The sequence below is a fragment of the Homo sapiens genome, chromosome 1 (genome assembly GCF_000001405.40).
Source record: "Homo sapiens chromosome 1, GRCh38.p14 Primary Assembly".
In the NCBI taxonomy this organism is placed as follows: domain Eukaryota; kingdom Metazoa; phylum Chordata; class Mammalia; order Primates; family Hominidae; genus Homo; species Homo sapiens.
Window position 1 is genome coordinate 229,222,076 of NC_000001.11, and position 20,614 is coordinate 229,242,689.

General features: G+C 45.4%; 3 annotated features.

Moving 5' to 3' along the window:
* Window positions 2,815-3,388: an enhancer, noted in NCBI's record as "H3K4me1 hESC enhancer chr1:229360637-229361210 (GRCh37/hg19 assembly coordinates)". NCBI's record gives its function as "activates a minimal SCP1, AML or CMV promoter by ChIP-STARR-seq in primed H9 embryonic stem cells {active_cell/tissue: H9 hESC(primed)}" and the evidence as "EXISTENCE:reporter gene assay evidence [ECO:0000049][PMID:30033119]".
* Window positions 5,979-6,704: an enhancer, noted in NCBI's record as "H3K27ac hESC enhancer chr1:229363801-229364526 (GRCh37/hg19 assembly coordinates)". NCBI's record gives its function as "activates a minimal SCP1, AML or CMV promoter by ChIP-STARR-seq in primed H9 embryonic stem cells {active_cell/tissue: H9 hESC(primed)}" and the evidence as "EXISTENCE:reporter gene assay evidence [ECO:0000049][PMID:30033119]".
* Window positions 18,607-18,901: a silencer, noted in NCBI's record as "tiled region #11146; K562 Repressive non-DNase unmatched - State 22:ReprW". NCBI's record gives its function as "represses a minimal TATA promoter and a strong SV40 promoter by Sharpr-MPRA in K562 cells {active_cell/tissue: K562}" and the evidence as "EXISTENCE:reporter gene assay evidence [ECO:0000049][PMID:27701403]".

The window sequence follows — 20,614 nt, forward strand, 5'->3', positions numbered from 1 at the left end:
TACACACACACACATGCATACACACACATTTACACATATAGTTCATGAAAATGATATTAACTATTACTACATGTGAGGCACTCTGCTATTTTCTATTCTATTTCTTATGTCTTTTTTTTTTTTTTTTCATTTTTTAGAGACAGGTTTTTGCTCCATCTCCCAGACTAGTGTGCAATGGTGTGATCATAGCTCACTGCAAACTCAAACTCCCGGGCTCAAGCGATCCTCCTGTCTCAGCCTCCCAAATAGGTAGGACTACATGTGTGCACTATGCACCACTACACTCAATTAATTTTTTTATTTTTTATCTTTTTTTTTTTTTGTAGCTACAGAGTCTCGCTATGTTATCCAGGCTGGTCTCAAACTCCTGGCCTCAAGAGATCTTCCCACCTCAGCCTCCCAAAGTGCTGGTGTTGCAGGTGTGCACCACTACATCCAGCCTATATCTATTTTTTTTAATTGAGATGAAGTCTCACTCTGTCACATAGACTGGAGTACAGTGGCACAATCTCAGCTCACTGCAATCTCTGCCTCCTGGGTTCAAGCAATTCTCCCAGTCAGCCTCTCAAGTAGCTGGGATTACAGGCACGTACCACCACGCCTGGCTAATTTTTTGTGTTTTTAGCAGAGACAGGGTTTCACCATGTTGGCCAGGCTACTCTCCCAACTCCTGACCTCAAGGGATCTGCCCCCTCGGCTTCCCAAAGTGCTGGGATTACAGGTGTGAGCCACCACGCCCAGCCAAATTTTTTAATTGAAGTCTAACATATATACTAAAGTTCATGAATCCCAAGTGTAGAGGTTGATGGATTTTTAAGGGCATTTTATTGTATAACCAACTTTATTAAGATATGATTTATAGGCCAGGCGCAGTGGCTCATGCCTGTAATCCTAGCACTTTGGGAGGCCAAGGTGGGCGGATCACAAGGTCAAGAGATCGAGATCATCCTGGCCTACATGGTGAAACCCCGTCTCTACTAAAAATACAAAAAATTAGCCAGGCATGGTGGCACATGCCTGTAATCCCAGCTACTTGGGAGGCTGAGGCAGAATTGCTTGAACCCAGGAGGCAGAGGTTGCAGTACGCAGAGATTGTGCCACTGCACTACAGAGTGGTGACAGAGCGAGACTCTGTCTCAAAAATATGTATATGTGATTTATATACCACAAAATTCACCCACTTAAAGTGTACACAGCTCAGTAGATTTTCGTACGTTTCCAGAGTTGTACAATTATTATCACAATCTAATTTAGAACATTTACCTCACCCCATAAAGAAACTTTATACCCAATATCTATTCTAATTTTTTTAATGTCAGTCATAATGAAATGAAATCTATTTCATTCATGGGTCAGAATTGAGAATTGTAAAATCAATGTAGCTGTTTCAATAAAATGTCTCATTTATTCCTCACAAGACCTCAAAAGCAGGTGTTAACTATGCCCAGGTCACAGAACCGAGAGGCAGAGAGACGCACAACATGTCCAAGGTCACACACTCGTAAGCAACAGAACTGAAAGTCCAAGCTGGTCCTCCAGGCACCCTTTGGAGTTCTTCCAGTGGCATTGAGACAGCAAGAGCCGCTGTCTGTCCCCTGAAGGGTGAATGCTGCAGTCACAAAAGCAGGCCGGCCCCACACATATCTTTGCAGTGCTGGGAGCCACCGCTCGTGGTCAGCAAGGTGATCTCACTGCACAAAACTGATTACAATCAGAAATGCTGCCAGACAACCTGGGCTCAGAGCTCAGCAATGAAATTCATAACTGGGCTGAGCTGGGGTGATGCTTAGCACAGCAGGATTCGGAAGATGACTTTGAGAAGCAAACTAATAACAAAAGGCCTTCAGGAAGAATGCTGCCTCGAATTCTTTTAACCTGGAACAGATGACCATATTTCAGAAGCTGCAAACCATCACATGCATATATGGATATTTTTATAGCATTAAACTATTGTTGTCAAGTGAAAATTAGAGCAATTTCAGTGACATGCATCAAAAAATCCTACAGAACAATTAATTGTACAGCATGTTATAATGAAGTGCAGATGAAAAGTTCATGTTTTCTCTCATATCCCAACCCCTCAACGGGTGGAAAGGGGTGTGTGTGTGTGCGCGCGCATGTCTGTGTGTGTTTGTGTGTAGTGTGTTTGCATATATGTATGTTTATGTATATATGGGCATGTTTGTGTGTGAGTGTGTGTAGTGTGTGTTTATGTATATGTGTTTGGTTTGTAGGTATAAGTATGTATATGCATATATTTGTATGTATGTATTTGTATGTTTTGTGTATATGTTGTATGTGTCTTTGTGCATATGCGTGTTTGTGTATATTTGTGTGCATGCTTGTATTGTGTTTGTGTATGTTTGTCTGTGTAGTATGTGTTTGTGTGTGTTTGAGTATATGAGTGTGTTTATGTTTATATGTGTGTTTGAGTGTGTGTGAGATTCTGTGTGTGTGTGTGTGTGTGCTGCAACAGCAGCCGGGGAAAGGGTTAGGATGCATGGAATGGTGAAGGTGCTGGCCAGCCTTCCACTGCACATGCTATTTAATAAGCATATCTGACTCATCCACCACTTGGCTTGTTGGGTGGTAGAGGAGAGTGGAGGTCATTAGGAGAGGAAAGTATATTAGAAATGAGTGTTTTCCTTTCCAATCTAGCCCTATCCTGTTTCTAGATACCTCTAAGTTATTAAAGCAGGTTCCCTTTAGAGATCTGTTTCCTATTCTATAAGTAGAATTTATGTATTTGTTCAACAAGCATTGCCTGAGCACCTTCAGCTGGGACAGACAGCACAAAACTGTTTCATTTTCTCCCAGAAACTCCCTATTGGTTGGCGTCTAGGATCCTGTCTGAGATGTTCATGAACATACATTACCAACTTGGATGCTGGGGAAGAACGGAGTTTGGTCCATGCCCAAGAGCCATGCCAAAGAACCAGAAGCCCTACTCCCAATCTGAACACGCCTGTGCTTTGGGCTCAGATAAACTGACATCGCTCTAACTCCCAATCAAAGCCAGGGTTGGGGCCCCATGGAATAGCAGGGGCGGTGGGTGCAGAGCAGTGGAGCGAGCATCTGATGGGGCAGGGTGCGCACCTCGCCAAAGCTGGGTGTGGCTTTGTCACCCACCATTCTAGGTTAGGCTTGACGTTTCATGGACAATTCACAGCAATGGGGGCTCGCTCTGTAAGATGCAGTGCAGGGTTAAGGGGTGCGGATTGATCCCAAAAGAGAACAGAGCTGGTCTTGATAGAGGTTGGACCGCCTTAGAGCACAGGATGCTGGCACTGAAAAGCAGTGACAGGGCTGGGGTGCAGTTCAGGGCAGCTGGGCCCGGCCAGCAGCAGCTCATGGCTGGCGTCCTCAGCAGCCTCTGATCCCAGTGATGGCGTGACCAGGTCTCCCCTAGGAAATGGGTTCTTTTGAACTTTTCAGAGGTATGAAGGAAAGCCTCCCTTTTTATGAGTTCTGCTGCAGGCAGAGGAAGTGGCTGTGTGCAGAGGAGAGCAATTAGAGGCAAAGGTCGGCAAACTGCTCACCAGGCAGGGCATGCTGCAGCCTGTCGGGGATGGATGGGGTGTGGGCCAAGGCTCTAGTGCCCTCCTGCTGTGGGATCTGGGTGCGGGGAGGAGCTCCTGGACAAAGGCAGGAAGCCACTTCAAGGTATCCCCATTTGGGATGAATCCACTTTGACCCCACTTGCCACAGTACTCTGGAAGACAGTGGCTTGGTCCAGCTCCCCATTCATCCAGTGTTGTTAGGAATGTCTAAGCAGGCCAGGCACGGTGGCTGACGCCTATAATCCCAGCACTTTGGGAGGTCAAGGTGGGCAGATCACCTGAGGTCAGGAGTTCGAGACCAGCCTGACCAACATGGAGAAACCCCAACTCTACTAAAAATACAAAAAATTAGCCAGGCATGGTGGCACATGCCTGTAATCCCAGCTACTCGGGAGGCTGAGGCAGGAGAATTGCTTGAACCCGGGAGGCAGAGGTTGCGGTGAGCTGAGATGACGCCATTGCACTCCAGTCTGGGCAACCAGAGCAAAACTCTGCACCAAAAAAAAAAAAAGAAAAAAGAAAAGAAAAAGAAAAGAAAAGAAAGAAACTTCTAAGTAGCCCATATCTAATCTGGTGGTGGGAGATAGTTAGTTCTTTTTTTCCCCAGCAATTCTGCGTCCCAAAGTGCCCTATCACATCCTAGAGCCACACAGCTCTCCTGCGGGGATCTAGACCAAGATTAACACATGACGTGCTGCATCCCACAAGGTGGACACCCCTTCCAGTGTGCCCAGGATTGAGTGGCTTCCTGGGATGCAGGACTTTCAGGGCTAAAGCCAGAACAAACTGGTCCCCTACCCACATGACCCTTATCCCTCCAGAAAGAGACCCAGGCCTTCAAAGGAAACAAACTAAGCTACCCCTGTGGACAGAAGGCACCTAGACCAGCCCCCCAGTTGGAAGACAGACCCAGCATCATTTGAAGATTAGAGGTGTGGAACCTTCCAGACTAGTCCCCAACCAAACCACTGGTGCCAATCCAGGCCTGAATGGTCCCCTAAGCCAGGCTGAGCCGAGCCTGGGCACTGAGCTGTACCCTCCTCTGAGCCAGCTGAGGTTGTGTCCCCATCCCACCCACCCACCCTCTCTGGGATCCCAGGTCCCTAGAGCAACTCTTGTCACATCTGACCAGGTAGGTGCCTGGGTATGGTGAGGATGCACACCATCCAGGGTGATGCCCACATGGCACTGCCAGTTCTGTGCATCGGGCTATGAAGAACACTCTCGTGGGGTTTATTTTTGCTGACATCTCTTAGCCCTGGTAGGGTGGAGTGGGGTTGGGGATGGGTGCAGTGTGAGCAAATTGTGGCTAATTTTGCTTCTGCTGACCAAGAGACTAGATGAGGTTTATAGAATGCACGTAAAAAGCTGAGGGAAGTGGAATGGGGTTTCCACTGGCCTTCTTTTCACCCTGTGGGTGGCTCAGCCTCCCCTCTGTATATCCCAGCCCTATGCCTACAGAGGCTCCCTTGTACCCACAGGCGTTGGTCTCAGGCCTGGATACAGGGAAATGAAGAGCATGGAGAAAAAGTGAGCAGGAAGGGAGAAGAAAAGGAGGTGGATGGGTAAGGAGAGAAAAGACAGGGCCCCAAACTTGCCTCAGTGCCCTGAGTAAAGATGCTTACCAATTCCTAAATACCGCAGTGGCTAAGAGCTCTACATCTATCAGCCACATGCTGACTCCTCCAACAACTCTAGAAGCCAGGCTGGCTTCTGTCCCATTTTTACATAAAAAGAAACTGCCTCAGAGAAGCTGAGCAATTTACCCACAGTAACACAGCAGTCAGTCTCATCACAGGGAGGCGTGACTGCAAAGCTCTCAGCAGCGATAATATACAGCTTTCTGTCTTTTAAACTTCTATTTGTAGAAGTACACGGTGAATCTCCATGCCAAGGAAGCTTTCTATCATCCTAACTGAAAGACCTACAGGCACCGAACTCATTAACAGAAGTACCTGGGGAGTCAGAACCCCTCGCCTGAGTGCTGGGAACGGCTGATGCGCGCCCCCTGCCGGCTGTTCCGAAAACAATCAAATAACGTGAGGCTGGCAGCCTGGACCGGGATGCTTCACAAAGAAACGAGAAAACGGCAGCCATGCTGAGACTGTTCTGGATTTGGAATATGCAATTCTGGAGACAAGAGAGAAAAGAGAGGAGTAATTCAAAACGGCTAGTTCCCTAGAGGAATGTTTGAGAGAGTGGTTGTAAAATGCAAATGGCCTTTCAGCTTGAAAATTTGCAGTGGCAGGTAGATTCACACAACCTGAATTCAGAATACAAAGAAAAGGCAAGAAATGAGATGTAATCCTTGACTAAAAATAAAAACAATCACAAAAGCCATACATAGATATATAGAAAATGTTGACAAAAACAATATTTGAGTGCTTACTATGAGCCAAGTACCATTCTAAGAGCTTTGCCTTTATTATCTCATCTAAGCTTCATAGCAATTCTATGAAATAATACTGATTTATCAGATGTGGAAAATAGGGCATACAGATGTAAAGCAACTTGTATAAGGCCAAACAGCTAGAAAGTAGCAGTACTTTACAGGGATAGATACAGTAAACAAAAGGCAGGTGGAAGAGGGATTACAGGTTGCTCTTATCCAGAGTGGTTGCAGCCAGGTGCAGTAGCATGTGCCTGTAACCCCAGCTACTTGAGAGGCTGAGACAGGAGGACCTTTTGAGCTCAGGAGTTTGAATCCAGCCTGGGCAATATAGCTAGACGCCCTCCCCCTTCCCACCCCCCCGCCGCCGCCATATCTAAAAAATAAAAAATGTCAGGCGTGGTGGCTCACACCTGTAATCCCTACACTTTGGAAGGCCGAGACTGGAGAATTACTTGAGCCCAAGAATTCAAGACCAGCCTGGGCAACATAGCAAGACCTCTCCCCACCCCTATATGTACAAAAAAATTTTTAAAAATTAGCCAGGCATGGTGGTGCTCCTGTAGCCCCAGCTTCAGGAGACTGAGGGGGGAGAATCACTTGAGACCAGGAGGTTGAGGCTGCAGTGATCACGCCACTGCATTCAGCCTTGGTGACAGAGTGAGACCCTGTCTCAAAAATAAATAAATAAATAAATAAATAAATAAATAAATAAAAATGCTTGAGACCAGAAATGTTTCCAATTCGGGAATTTTTTGGAATATATAAGATATATTCCAAAGTCAACATTTTTAAAAAGATATATAATGAGGTATCTTGAAGATGAACCCCAAATCTTAAGACAAAATTCATTTATGTTTTATATATAAACCCTTATAAACACAGCTTCCAAGTAATTTTATGCAATATTTTTAATAATGTTGTGCATGACAAAGTCTTGAATGTGTTTTGACTGTGATCTGTCACGTGAAGTTAAGTGTGGAATTTTCTACTTGTGGCATCATATTGCTGCTCAAAAAGCTTTGGATTTTAAAGCATTTTTGATTTTGGATTTTCGGATTAGGGATACTCCACCTGCCTAGACTGCGGGAACAAATATGCCGGCTTCCCACGCGTGGGAAGTGATAGTGTTTTCCAGGAGTGATGAGGTATTTGAGCTGCCTGTTGCTCCTTCCTTATTCCCATTCCCCTTGTAACCAAAACAAACAAACAAACCAGCTAGGCATGTGTAAGCCCGAAGGCTAAGGTTGCTCATGTCTGGCCACAGTAAAGAAGAAGCCCAACCAGCTCCCCCTCCCAGAACTGGAATTTCTGTCCCCTGTACCATGAAAACATCTCACCTCCTGAGCTGAGTAGCCACAGAGACAAAGAGGGTAAGGAAGGGAAAGAACCTTAGGCTTGGGGCTGTTTCCTATACCTGTGGTTTTTAAAAGGAATCTGGCATTCCTAGGCAGACAAGAATGCAAACTGGCCAAGGTACAGAGACACCTGAATCCTGTTCCTCAGACCCAGAGAGACGCTGGGAGGTCATATTTCCTGCTTTGTTTTCTGCTGTAAGATTCCGCTGTAACTCCTTGCCTAACAGAAGTGGGTGAGTGAAGGCAGCAACGTTTCCTACAGCGGACCTCCGTGTGACTCCAGCTCCTCCCTAAAACATAAAGCCTGCTAGAGCATGGGGCTGAAGAGAGTGAAGAGAAATCACTGCGTGGCTTTGGGTGTCAGTGGCAGGTGTTCTTACTGTATAGAGGGGAGCTGAAGACTCCCTGGACGCAAGTCTCCACCCCAGTTAGAGGGAGGAGTTGGTAAACTGGGGGAGGCGGCAGAGAAAAAGTTTCAACCTCAACACTGAAAAACAGCCTGGGGATCTTGGCAGGGTTTTAGCCCTCACATCTGCCTTCGAATGAGGGACTTCCAGCTGACCTCTGACAGTGTCCTCCAGTATTATGCAAGGGCAGAGTTAAGCTTTTGGCAGCAGGCAGGAGCACAGAAGTGCCAGGGACATTCTGTTAACAAAGCACAAAGGGTAGAAGGAAGGAACAAGCCATTCTTGTCCACTGTGCAGACTGAGCTCCATTGTGTTGATCCAACATGACAGAATTTGTTTCATTAAAGACTCCCTCCTCACCACCACTGTCAAAGCCAAATCCCTCCAAAAGCCAGAACCCAAGCCCCAATGTGCTGCAAGGATTCTGCAGCTCTGCAGTCAGTGGGTGAAGCCCAAAGCTCCAGCGAAAACCCAACTGCCCAGATCTGCAAGCTGTGGGGAGGGCAGGCCATTTGGCCGTAACCCACCCACTCAAGGGATCGCTCCTTTCCACTTGTCTGGGCAGAGTGGGAAGGAGAGCCTCCAGAAACCGGCGGGGAGGAAGTTTGCTGGGGCTCCACTGTGTCACTGATTTATGGAAGCCTTTCAGGGCCAGAATGACACCATCCGCCTACCTCCTGCTAATTCATATTCTCAGAGCTTTAAATCATGGTGACAGCCCCACCAGGCGCTCTGATCAGTTGAGGGCTTCCAGGGCCCTGCGGGCCAGAGCACCCCACAGCCGCACTGCAGGTTACACCCCCACCTGCCCCAAATACATCCCAACTCCTGCTGCTCTCGGGCCCTCTGCTCAATCCGATAATCCACGGAGAAATGACCTTCCTTTCACTGATGTAGAAGCTCTCTCAACTGAAAAAATTGCAGAAGTTAGAAAAAAATAATTGACATTATGACTCACCCCTACCTCCTACTATTGCTAAGCTTCGAAGTAAACACCTGCTACTGTAAACTGAATAAATGCTAAATCACTAAGATCTTTTGTTAAACAAATTCTGCCACACCACTGCTGTCTTGCTGGGCTGGAGGAATTTTCTGATCGCCCAAAGCATCTTGAGTGCTGTTATTTCCAACCTACCTTTAAATGTGAGACCAAACCTTTGAAGTATACTGCCTCTTGCAAAAAAATAAAAATAAAAACCACACACACTAAAAAGCCTGATTATTTCTGAGGAACACCACAGTAGTTCACTCTCTGTGTGGTAGCTATAGTCAAAAGCACAAAAAACAGAGCAGGTAGAAGCAGAAATTAGGCGGGAAATAAAGACCAAGCTGGCGAGAAATTGGAGAAAGGCTTTCCAAAGCAATGTGACAAGGAAAAGGGAAACTTGAGAAAGATATTTTTCTCTGAGATCAGAGCTGTGCTCCACAGCCAAAGTTAAGGTGAGCCCTGCAATTGTCAGCCAGTAAGCATCTATTATGCTCCCAGTACACACCTGGCCTTGTATTTGGAATTAGAGGTCACCTCCGAGTTTACCTAAGCTCTTCTAGAAAAACAGATCCACCATTATACATTTAAATTATCCAGTCTGCTATGTGGCTTTTCCTGTCCTGCTTCTTGTGACGTAAGGGATTCTGTCTTTGAAACAAGGGGGCCAGAGATGTACTGTGATCCATAAATTCAACTCGGGATCAAACAAGATACTCAGGACCCTGGGATCTTGGCCAGGACGTGCCCTAACTTGCTTCATGTACAATGGGCTGTCATGTCACTGTTCTCTCAAAAACTCCAGACGGGAAGTAAGGGTTGTGACTAATTTCAAAGGGCACAGCGGGGAGCCACACTGCCTGGAAAGCAGGCTGCAGGCATTGCCTCCCGGGGAGTTTGATTCTGAGTTTTATTCTAACATGATCAAAGCAGTAGTTGGGGTGGGGAGCATTCTGAAAAGGAGGCATCAGATTAGGACTATCTGAATTTAAATTCTATTTCTACTTGGGAAAATATGCATTTAAATCATTGACAGCTTCAAAATTCTAATGATTCTGTGAACTATTGGAATTAGTAAGAGACTCATCAAACCAAGAGTAATTAAATGACCAGCTGTGGGCAGTGTGGGACTTCAGACAAAGCAGAGAGAGGTCTGTGTGAGGAGGCACAAGCTTGGCCCTCTGTGGGGCGGGGTGGGTGGTGATTTTGGTCAGGAAAATACACCAGCAGCAAAGGCACCACTGCCAGTCCACACGTGGGCTCTTAGTCTTGAGCCCCTCCACATTGATTTCTTTCCCTTACTGTACCTATGTTAAGGCACGGAAGTTTTCACCATGGGCATGTTTAGGTGAAGCCCGCTGTCCACAATGACCTGGGCAGGTGGGAGGCTCTCCAGGGACCCTTCTCTATTTGCCTAGGCATTTGGCTCTCTCCTGCCTCTATCACAGGTAGACCGGCCTCTTAGACTAAGCCACTGGACAGCTTGGGGAAAATGGGGCCTCTCTGATGGCTTTTTTCTTTAGGATAAGTTTCAAGTGCTCTAACAGAGACTCACAAGAATCGTGGCTTAAACAAGATAGATGTCTATTGCTCTGTCTCCCAGTCGTCCAGGCAAATAGTAAGTCAAGGCTGGAATGGCAGCTGCACAGGATCTAAGACCCTGGTTCCTCTTTTCCAGTTGCTCTGCCATCTCTACGGTGCTGCCCTTGTTGGCATTCTCCAAACTGGCTTCCCCGTCCCCACAATGTTCTAGGCAACAGGATGGAGGATGGGATAGAAAAAGATCACACCCCTTCCTGTTAAGGATATGATCTAGAAGTTACATCCAATGATTTCACTCACAGTCTTTTGGCCAGAACTGAGTGTGTTACCACACCCAGAGACAGGGGCATCTAGGAAATAGAGTCTTGATCCTAGGCCACCCAAATGCAAATCCTATCACTATCAAAGGAGGAATGGATGGATATTGGGGCTCCACCAGGCAGTAACCACTACCCATAGCACCTCACTTAAAACAACACATCACATCATTTTCAAGCAGTGTACAAAGAATGGCCCAAGATAATGATAGTATTGAAAAACCACCTTTGCAAAAATTATAACAGTGAGAAAATTATGACAGTGAAAGAGATCTGATCTAACCAATCCCCATCTTGTCTTTAACCTCCAAACTGCCTTGGTCATTCCTGGGCTTGGGCCAAGCTAACTTGGGGAGTTACAAACTTTAGTTTACAGTTTAAATGATAATAGTCCTTCCCCAAAACTGAACTGCCTTTGTAAAATGAATAAAGGACCACCCGGTTAGGAGGATGAGAGAAGCCTGAATTCTGCTAAGATGTAGGTGTGAACAATTACCAGCCATTATTCTGTAGGTCACAAGATTTGCAACTTCCCCAGTTACTCCTGAGGATAACATCCCTCTTTTTTTTTTTTTTTTTTTTTTGAGACGGAGTCTTGCTCTGTCGCCCAGGCTGAAGTGCAGTGGCGGGATCTCGGCTCACTGCAAGCTCCGCCTCCCGGGTTCACGCCATTCTCCTGCCTCAGCCTCCCAAGTAGCTGGGACTACAGGCGCCCGCCACTACGCCCGGCTAATTTTTTGTATTTTTAGTAGAGACGGGGTTTCACCGTTTTAGCCGGGATGGTCTCGATCTCCTGACCTCGTGATCCGCCCACCTCGGCCTCCCAAAGTGCTGGGATTACAGGCGTGAGCCACCGCGCCCGGCACATCCCTCTTAAAGAACCTAAAATTGGTCTTTGGAGATGTCCTTTCAGGATTTTGCATTTCTCATGACCAGATGACCGGACCTTGACTCTTGGCCCAACCAGTCCTGCGGACCCACCCAGAAGCAGACTTAGTGCACAAGGACCATTTTCCACATCCCTATGATTGCATCCCCAACCAATCAGCCGCATCTGTTCCCCTCGCCCCCTGCCAGCCAAGTAACCCTTGAAAAACCTAGCCTCAGAATTTTCCGGGAGGTCGACTTGAGTAATATCTTCATCTCCCACATGGTGTGGCCAGCCTCATGTCAATTAAACTCTTTCTTTATTGCAATGCCATGGTGTCATTGAATTGGTTTTGTCTGTGCCGTCGGCAGGAAGAACCCATCAGGTGATTACAATATCATTATCAGAAACAAGAGGAATGGGGAGGGGAGCCAGCAACTGAAATTGGATGATTCATTTCAGAATGCTAAATGGACCTCTGAAGGGACATTGGCTTGGAGATCTGGCACTTTAGCTCAGGGGAGAAGTCAGATTTGGAAACCAAGGTGGCAGGCATGATGGGAGAGAGCAGGGATGCCCTCCAACAGTGAGAGGATGTGGCTTATCTGGGACTGTCACAGTACTGTGGCTATTATCTGAAACTGTCTCCCCAAAGACACTGTAAATCCTGCTCTCCAGTAGTATTCCATGTTCTGAATGGCACTAGTGTTTAACCTTGGGTGAAAACGTGTTCCTTTTTCCTATCAAGTCCGTATTTGAAGACTTGATTGGCAATGACTGCTCCTAACTAGGCAAGCTGGCACCTTCTTGATGTCAGTCCCTTTTAGCGAATGTGTACACACTGGTAGGGGGCAGAGGGGAAAAGACAGGAAAAAGAAAAGTGCTGAGAATTCCAGGTCACCCACTGCAGCACAAGCTGGCTACCTTTTCTCTGGCAGTTGTTGTTAAGAGCATTTTCCAGCACCCTGAAGTTTTCATCCCCCATTGTTCAGCCACCCATTTCTAAAGAGTTAGCATAATAAGTGGGATCAGGGGTTAGGTGGACTGGGCACCAGCACCTTAACCCTGGGGGTAGAGATAGATTTCTGGCTTTTAGGAGTGAAGTTGATTTTAGAGTATAAAATGCTGCCCCCACCCCATTCCAGGGCTGCTGGGTGTAAAAGGAAAAGAAATCTTGGGACCCCAAAATCACTAAGCCAAAGGGAAAAGTCAAGCTGGGAGCTGCTTAGGGCAAACCTGCCTCCCATTCTACTCCTGAAAATGATAGCTACTAAGATCTTTTTTAAAAGCTACAAACCTCCCTCACAAGGCATTTCCTTACGGACAAAGGACAGACAGAACTCGAAGTCATCCCTCTGCTCACTGAGATAAATGCATATCTGATTGCCTCCTTTGGAAAGGCTAATCAGAAACTCAAAAGAATGCAACCATTTTGTCTCTTATCTACCTATAACCTGGAAGCCCCCTCCTCACTTCGAGTTGTCCGGCCTTCCCGTACAGAACCAATGACGGAGTGGGAAGATGATCTTCCCCTGGAATTTGGACATCCAGTGGCCAAACTCCTCTTCGACTGCCCCGCAGCCGAATACCTCTCAGTGCTCAGACATTCTCCTCTTTCTCTGCCGTGCCTTTCTGCCATTCGTCTGCTTGTCTCCTTGTCTCCTTGTCTGCTTCTGGAGCCTGGGGTTTGGGGTTTATATGGGTACAGGATGGCCAAAAGGCAACCTTTTGGGTGTGAAAACAGGAATCCCTGTCCTCCTTTAGGGTCACGGGTATCTGGGCTTCAGGGTGGGGGCCTTTGCCGGAGAACCGCCCTCTTCTACCCAGTGTTTCCCTGTCTCCTGTCCGTATCACCAGCAGATGGTGCCTACTTTTTTAAAGCCATCATCTTATCTTCTAGCTGTACCTATTTTTTTAAATATATGTTTTATTTCAACAGCTTTTGGGATACAAGTGGTTTTTGGTTACATGGATGAATTGTCTAGTGGTGAAGTCTGAGATTTTGCTACACTCTTCACCCGAGTGACCCCAGTAGTGTACATTGTATCTAATATGTAGTTTTTTTATCCTTTATCCCCTCCCACCCTGTATCTATTTTTAATTGCTTTGTGAACTAAGGCAAATGTGATAAAGAGGCATCTGATGTACCTGCTTCTAGCATACAAGAAAACATATTTCTTGAGCATGCTGTTACATGCTTGACACTTTATATACACTATTTCATTTAACATCCCAACAATCCTAAAACCTGGGTTTTGTTATTGAAGAACCCAAGGCTCTGAGAGTTAACTAACTTGCCCAAGGTCACACAGTTAGCAAGTTGTGTGGGCAGGATATAAGCCCAGTCTGGCTGCAAAGCTATGTTCTTTACACTGTAACTTACTCCTGAAGGAAGGAGGCTTAAAAATAATCCATGCAGAATTTGTATCAGCTTGATATGTGTGCCTTATTATTATTATTATTATTATTATTTTGAGACGGAGTCTTACTCTGTTGCCCAGGCTGGAGTGCAGGGGCGTAATCTCGGCTCACTGCAACCTCCACCTCCTGGGTTCAAGCCATTCTCCTGTCTCAGCCTCCTGAGTAGCTGGGATTATGGGCGCCCACCACCATGCCTGGCTAATTTTTGTATTTTTAGTAGAGACAAGGTTTCACCGGGTTGGCCAGGCTGGTCTTGAACTCCTGACCTCAGGCGATCTGCCCACCTTGGCCTCCCAAAGTGCTGGGATTACAGGCATGAGCCACCACACCTGGATTGCCATATTATTTTAATAGAATAGGATAGGACAAAACTTAGAAGGTATTGGATACCATTTTCCCTGTTGAAGGAGTATTGGTAAGACACCGTCAAAGAGAAATGCACCGCGTACACACGAAGAGGAACCATTTGTAGGTGGTACATAAAAGGGTAAAAAATAGGCCGGGCGCGGTGGCTCACGCCTGTAATCCCAGCACTTTGGGAGGCCGAGGTGGGCAGATCACAAGGTCAGGAGTTTGAGACCAGCCTGGCCAACATGGTGAAACCCTGGCTCTACTACAAATACAAAAATTAGCTGGACGTGGTGGTGCATGCCTGTAGTTCCAGCTACTCAGGAGGCTAAGGCGGGAGAATCGCTTGAATTGGGGAGGCGGAGGTTGCAGTGAGCTGAGATCGCACCACTGCACTCCAGCTTGGAGGAAAGAGTGAGACTCCTTCTCAAAACAAAAAAAAAAAAAGGTTAAAAAATAATTATAAAAGGAATATACCCAGAGTTTTTTTATTAGAAAGTGTTGTATAAAATCTTGAAAGTAGAATAGTTCTATAAAATGTATTATCTATAGATCAGTAAGAGAAGATATAAAAAGACATATTTTTAAAACTAAACAAAATGAAAATGGAAAAGCAACATTAATATTATATGTGGTGTCAAATTAGCTTATTAAAAGAAATATAAAATCTAAAATCATATTAACTTATTAAAAGAAATATAAAACCTAACAGAAAAACTAAAATTAGAGGACAGAAATACCATATGTCAGTGGAGTTTAAAGCAACTGGAGCTGTGATACACCGCTGATTGGAGTGTAAATTTTTTTGTTGTTTCCTTGAGAAACTATTTGACGTTACCTACTCAAACTAAACATACACCTATACTCTGACCCAATAATCCCACCCCTAGGTAAATACTCAAAACAAAATGAATGCATGTGTCCACGGAAGGACACACACCTGCGCATTCACACCAAGTGTATTTACAATAGTCAAAAACCAAAATAAGTCAATTACCTGTTAACCATAGGTAGATATTTTCGGTCTCTTGGCTTTTAAAGCCTTCCATGATTTCCTATTGTTTTCTGACCAATTTTATTTCTTGTTCCTATTACCTAAAAGCTCACAGTTCCAAACAGGTGAGATTCCTTGGTCCCCACTGGATGTGACAAGGAAATATGTTAGGGACTCTGCACATTCGGGCAGCTGGGTCAAAGGATGGACAAACCTTGAGGGTTAGAGAATTAATTGCCCTGGGAAGGTCTCTGCAGGTTTATCTGCCTGGAGCGAGGTGTTTACCTTTCAAAGAGTAATAAAACCTGGATCCATTCACTTTGGTTTTGAATGGCCAAAACAATCCAGGGATTGTTAAGTGCTGTGACTTAAGAAAGGAAGCAGCCAATTCACAAAAGAGTGAATAAACATATACAAATGTCCAAGCTCACCAATACAGAAAAAAAAAAAAAACACAGCTCAATAACATTTTTCATTTATCAGTCTGGCAAAGAGTTTCAAAATTTTTTAACAGCCAGTGGTGGAAAGGCGCAGGTGAGCCTTCTCACACACGGGGATGGAAGTTACTTTGGAAATAAGTTAAACGCTTTAACTCACACACACCCATTGTTCGTTTTTGGAATTATCCAAAGGAAATATAGTGGATCCATGCAAAGACAGCAATTTCAAGAGGCTCATCACAGGGTTATTTTTGATAGAAAAACCTAACAGTCCAACAATAGGATGCTGGTTAAATAAGGTATGATATACCCATCCATTCTGAAATGCTGTAAAAAAAAAAAAAAAAAAAGTATTTAATGGCATGAAAAATGTTCACAACCCATTGTTTAATGAAGAACAAATTATAAACAATATGCAAAGTGTGTGAATATATAGGTACTGTACATGTGCACACATATGTGTAATGTCAAAGACAGAATTACAACAAATTTTGTTATAGATCTCATTGACTTTTATTGGCGATGAATCAGGGCAGCCTCCATTCTACAAAATAGAATGAGAGCTTCCACCAGGCAATGGCAGAACCGTGGGTTTTGTAAGGTAGAAACAAGGAATAGAACAGTAGGAAAAAACTGATTAGTTAACATCAGGTTACTTCAGGTTGCTTTTGTAATAAGGGTTAAAGCAGAGGGGACTTCCTTATATACTGCTGACTCAGGAAGGCTGGAATCTCCTGTTTGCAGGAAAACTTGGTCTGTTTTGGAAATCTATCTGCTTCTTTAAAGTTTTAGTCTGATTATGTGGCATTTAGCATGAGCAACTTCATTTTGATTTGGTCTGGTCTATTGGAGCCTAGTGCAGGAACTCAGTCTAAGACAATGGCCTCTCATAATTTTTGTTTAATGATAGAAAAACACTGGAAGCCTATATTACCAAACTGGTGGGAATATGGGATATTTAAATTTTCTTCCTTCTGCTTATCTATGTTTTCTAAGTTTTCAAAAATGAATACTCATTACTGCTGGATTAAGAAAAAGAATAAACATTATTATATTTAATAACACAAAGGAGCAAACTGAGAACTGGATGCAGCTTGGTAGTTGCCCGGGCAGGACACTGTCCCAAGCTAAGCTCCTCCCCAACATCCCTCAGGCCCAGAGCCAGCCCTTCCTCCTCCCGAGCGCCCTGCCCTGGGATTCTCAGACCTTGAAAGCCACAAGTCTTGAAAGTCTCTGAAGGAAGAGACAGGGAGCAAATGGAGTTTCTGATGCTTCTCCCAGGCAGGTGGGATCATGATGCAGGATTTTTCTTGGCCCCTTTGTGGGACTCACAATGGTGGATCCCCATCTACTTGGCCCACTGTACTCAGCCCCTTGCAAGAGGGAGCACATGAGCAAGCAAGTGCAGGATCCAGCTGGCCGCTCCAGGCACTAGCAGGAGCAAGCTCCATGCAGGGCCCATGGCCAGACCAGGCATGAGTAAATGAGTGTGGGATCCAGCTGGCTGCTCTGGGTGCCAGCAGGAGCAAGCTCCATGTGGGGCCTGTGGCAGCGCCTAGGTGGGGGCACCCACAACCCCAAAACCCCAGAGGGAGTGTTACAGTGCTCTCTTAGTTCCCCCATCTGCAGACAGTTATGTGTTAGCAGCTCAGTTGGCCATTTGTCTTGCCACACGGGGCAGCTGCTCTTCACCAGCAAGGGCAAAGGGCCAGTGTGATGGACTTTCTGGGTACCCACACTTGGTGGGTCCCAAGCTCTTGTCTGGTGTCCAAGAAGAATGAGATCACATGGATGAACTGAAGGATGGTGAAGGCGGAGAATTTTATTAAGCAATGAAAACGACTCTCAGTGGAGAGGGGAGCTGGAAAAGGGATGGGAAGGGCAGGTCACCTTCCACAAAGTCAGATTGTCTCTTCCCAGAATTCAAGCCATCTCTCTCCAAAGTCAAGCCGTCTCTCTTGAAGTCTGGCCATCTCCCCCAAAGTTCAGCCATCTGTCTCTACCAACTGAGTCTGGAGTCTTTATAGGCACAGGATGGGAGTGGGGTGGGCCGTAGGTAGTTTTGGAAAAGGCAACATTCAACTGGTAAAAAGACATTATTCATAAAGAACCAATCAGGAGAGAGTGGGCAAATGAGAATAGTTCTCACTTTGGGCTGGGCACAGTGGCTTATGCCGATAATCCCAGCACTTTGGGAAACCAAAGTGGGTGGATCACCTGAGGTCAGCTGTTTGAGATGAGCCTGGCCAACATGGTGAAACCTCATCTCTACTAAAAATACAAAAATTAGCCAGGCTTGATGGGGCACACCTGTAGTCCCAGCTATTTAGGAGGCTGAGACAGGAGAATCGCTTGAACCCAGGAGGCAGAGGTTGCAGTGAGCGGAGGTGGTGCCATTGCACTCCAGCCTGGGAAACAGTACGAGACTGCCTCAAAAAAAAAAAAAAAAAAAAAAAAAGTTATCACTTTGGGCTGTGGGTTTCAGGCTACTTTGGCTTGAAGGTGGGGTTTCACCTGGGACCCATCCCTGTCTGCTTAGAATTTCTCTGCCTCCTGTTTCTATCAATGAGATCTTACCAATATCTCTGAACCCATGATGTTCCCTCCATATGCTCGTCAGGTGCTAACCTACAGTATTAATACTTCAGTCCACTGTGGGTTAAATAGGTATATGTGAGCTGGGTGAGACCTGACCGCAATTGTTTCTAGGAGAGTACATTCCAGGATCCAAACAGTTGGCTTAATTAGACACTTTCAGCACCTAACATACAGGTAATTGAGAATTGCCTTTACACAGCTTTCAGTACATTGAAATTGTTTAATCACAGCCAGCAATGAGGATTCCTCAAAGAAGAGCTGTTCTCAAAGTTTCCATTGTGAAGAGCCCCTTTTTGCTATTGTCCTGAAGTAGCAATCCCATGATGGAAACAGAGAGCCAAAAAAAAAGATCGTGGCTACATTATAATGGACTTGGTGAGCATGCACTGACCTTACTTGCTCTTTAGGGTGAGTGGACATAGGGGCCCATCAACCCTGCTCCAGCCAGCACCTGGTCAGAGTCACTAACTACAACAATGACACCATGGGGACCCCTGGGGCTGCTGTCTGTGGGGCTTTGTATCTTGGCCAGTAAAGCCATCCTAAGGTCAGGGCCAAAACCAGAAGCAGAGGGGGCCCGGCCTCAGCTAACAATACTGTGGGGAAGTTCAGCGAGGCTGTCAGCCCCCTCCAGCCCCCAGTCACTCTTGAAGGGTTGTGACAGTCACCCCCTGCTGCTGGCTCTGAAACTACCCTCCCACCCACCCCCCTCAACTGACTCCTTTAGGGACTGCTTACCCACATAAAAACAAAGAAATTTTTCTTTTTTCCCCAAAGTAGGTAAATATGGATGTGAAAAGTGGGCAGTGGTCCAAAAGGAAAAATGATGAACGACTAGAGGCCTGTGCTTAGAGCTGTCCACCCACTGCAAGTGTTTGGCAGGGCCCTGGAGTCTAGGCACTTCCATTTTGTTTCCCAAGTGACCATGATTGGTCAATACCTAGGATATCTTTTCTTTAAATGCTTGATAATGAACATACCTGTACCTACCCATCATCATCCTTAGAAAACACCACTTTACCAAAAGAGAGAAGGGGGTGATTATTCGTCCCCTAAAGAAGGAACTCCTGAAGCCCCCTTTAAGTATTAACTTGTCTCCTATACCTGGTTTTGAGTGGTTTATTGAGATAAGATCCCAGGCCAAATCAGGGCCCTGAACAGTCCCCTAGACTAGGGGGCCCAACAAACTATGGCCCAAGGGCCTTTTTATAAATAAAGTTTTATTGAAACGCAGACACTCCCATTTGTTAACTATTGTCTATGGCTGCTTTTGTGCCACAGTAGCAGATGCGAGGAGTTGTGAAAAAGGTCACATGACCTGCAAAGTTGATAAGGTTTGGCTCCATGTCCCCACCCACATCCCATCTCAAGTTGTGATCCTTAGTGTTGAAGGAGGGAGGTGACTGGACAATGGGAGCGGACTTCCCACTTGCTATTCTCGTGATAGCATTCTCATTAGACCTGGTGGTTTGAAAGTGTGCAGCACCTCCCACCCCCACCTCCTGCTCTGCCATGTGAAGATGTGCCTGCCTCCCCTTCGCCTTCCGCCGTGATTGTAAGCTTCCTGAGGCCTCCCTAGTCATGCCTTCTGTTCAGCCTGCAGAACTGTGACTCAAGTAAACCTCTTTCCTTCATTAATTACCCAGTCTCGGGTATGTCTTTATAACAGTGTGAGAACAGACTAATACAAAAGGTAAAAATATTTTCTGTCTTGCTCTTTACAGACAAAGGTCACCAATCCTTGCTCTAGACAGCGGCAGGCTGCTAGGGCCTATCTGTTGCCCTGATGTAGGCCCCAGTAGTTTCCCTAACATTCACATCACCAAAGCTGTCTGCTGCTTTTTGAGGAGAGGTATGGAGAGGTTAGGAATGTGGGAGAGGGGGACTTATTGGAGGAACAAGTGAGACAGAGATGAAGGCAATTTAAAGTCTTCAGAAAAAGAGAAGGGTAAGATGACAACAAGAATGAAAAGAAAAGAAAGAGAGAAAGCATCTCAAAAAATGCATAAATTTATAAGCATATATAATTAGATATAAAAAATTACGATTCTAACATAAAGTTTTAGCTAATGCTTAAATCAGAACACATCTGTTACAGGCCAACAGGCATATAAAAATTAGAATAACAATAGTAAGTCACCTTGGATTTCTATAGGTCTTTTCTTCCAGTAAGTTCAAAGCCTTTCCTTCTAATCTCTCATCTACTTATATAAAATTTATGAGAACTGTTCTCATTTAACAGATGAGAAAACAGGATAAACTACAACAAAATTGGATTTGAGGTTTCTTAACTTCAGATGACCATATGATTTTTCATCTAATAACCAGTGCTCCTTTTGTGAGCAAATAGGGGAGGGTGCAATTAATAATTACACTTGGACAACAGG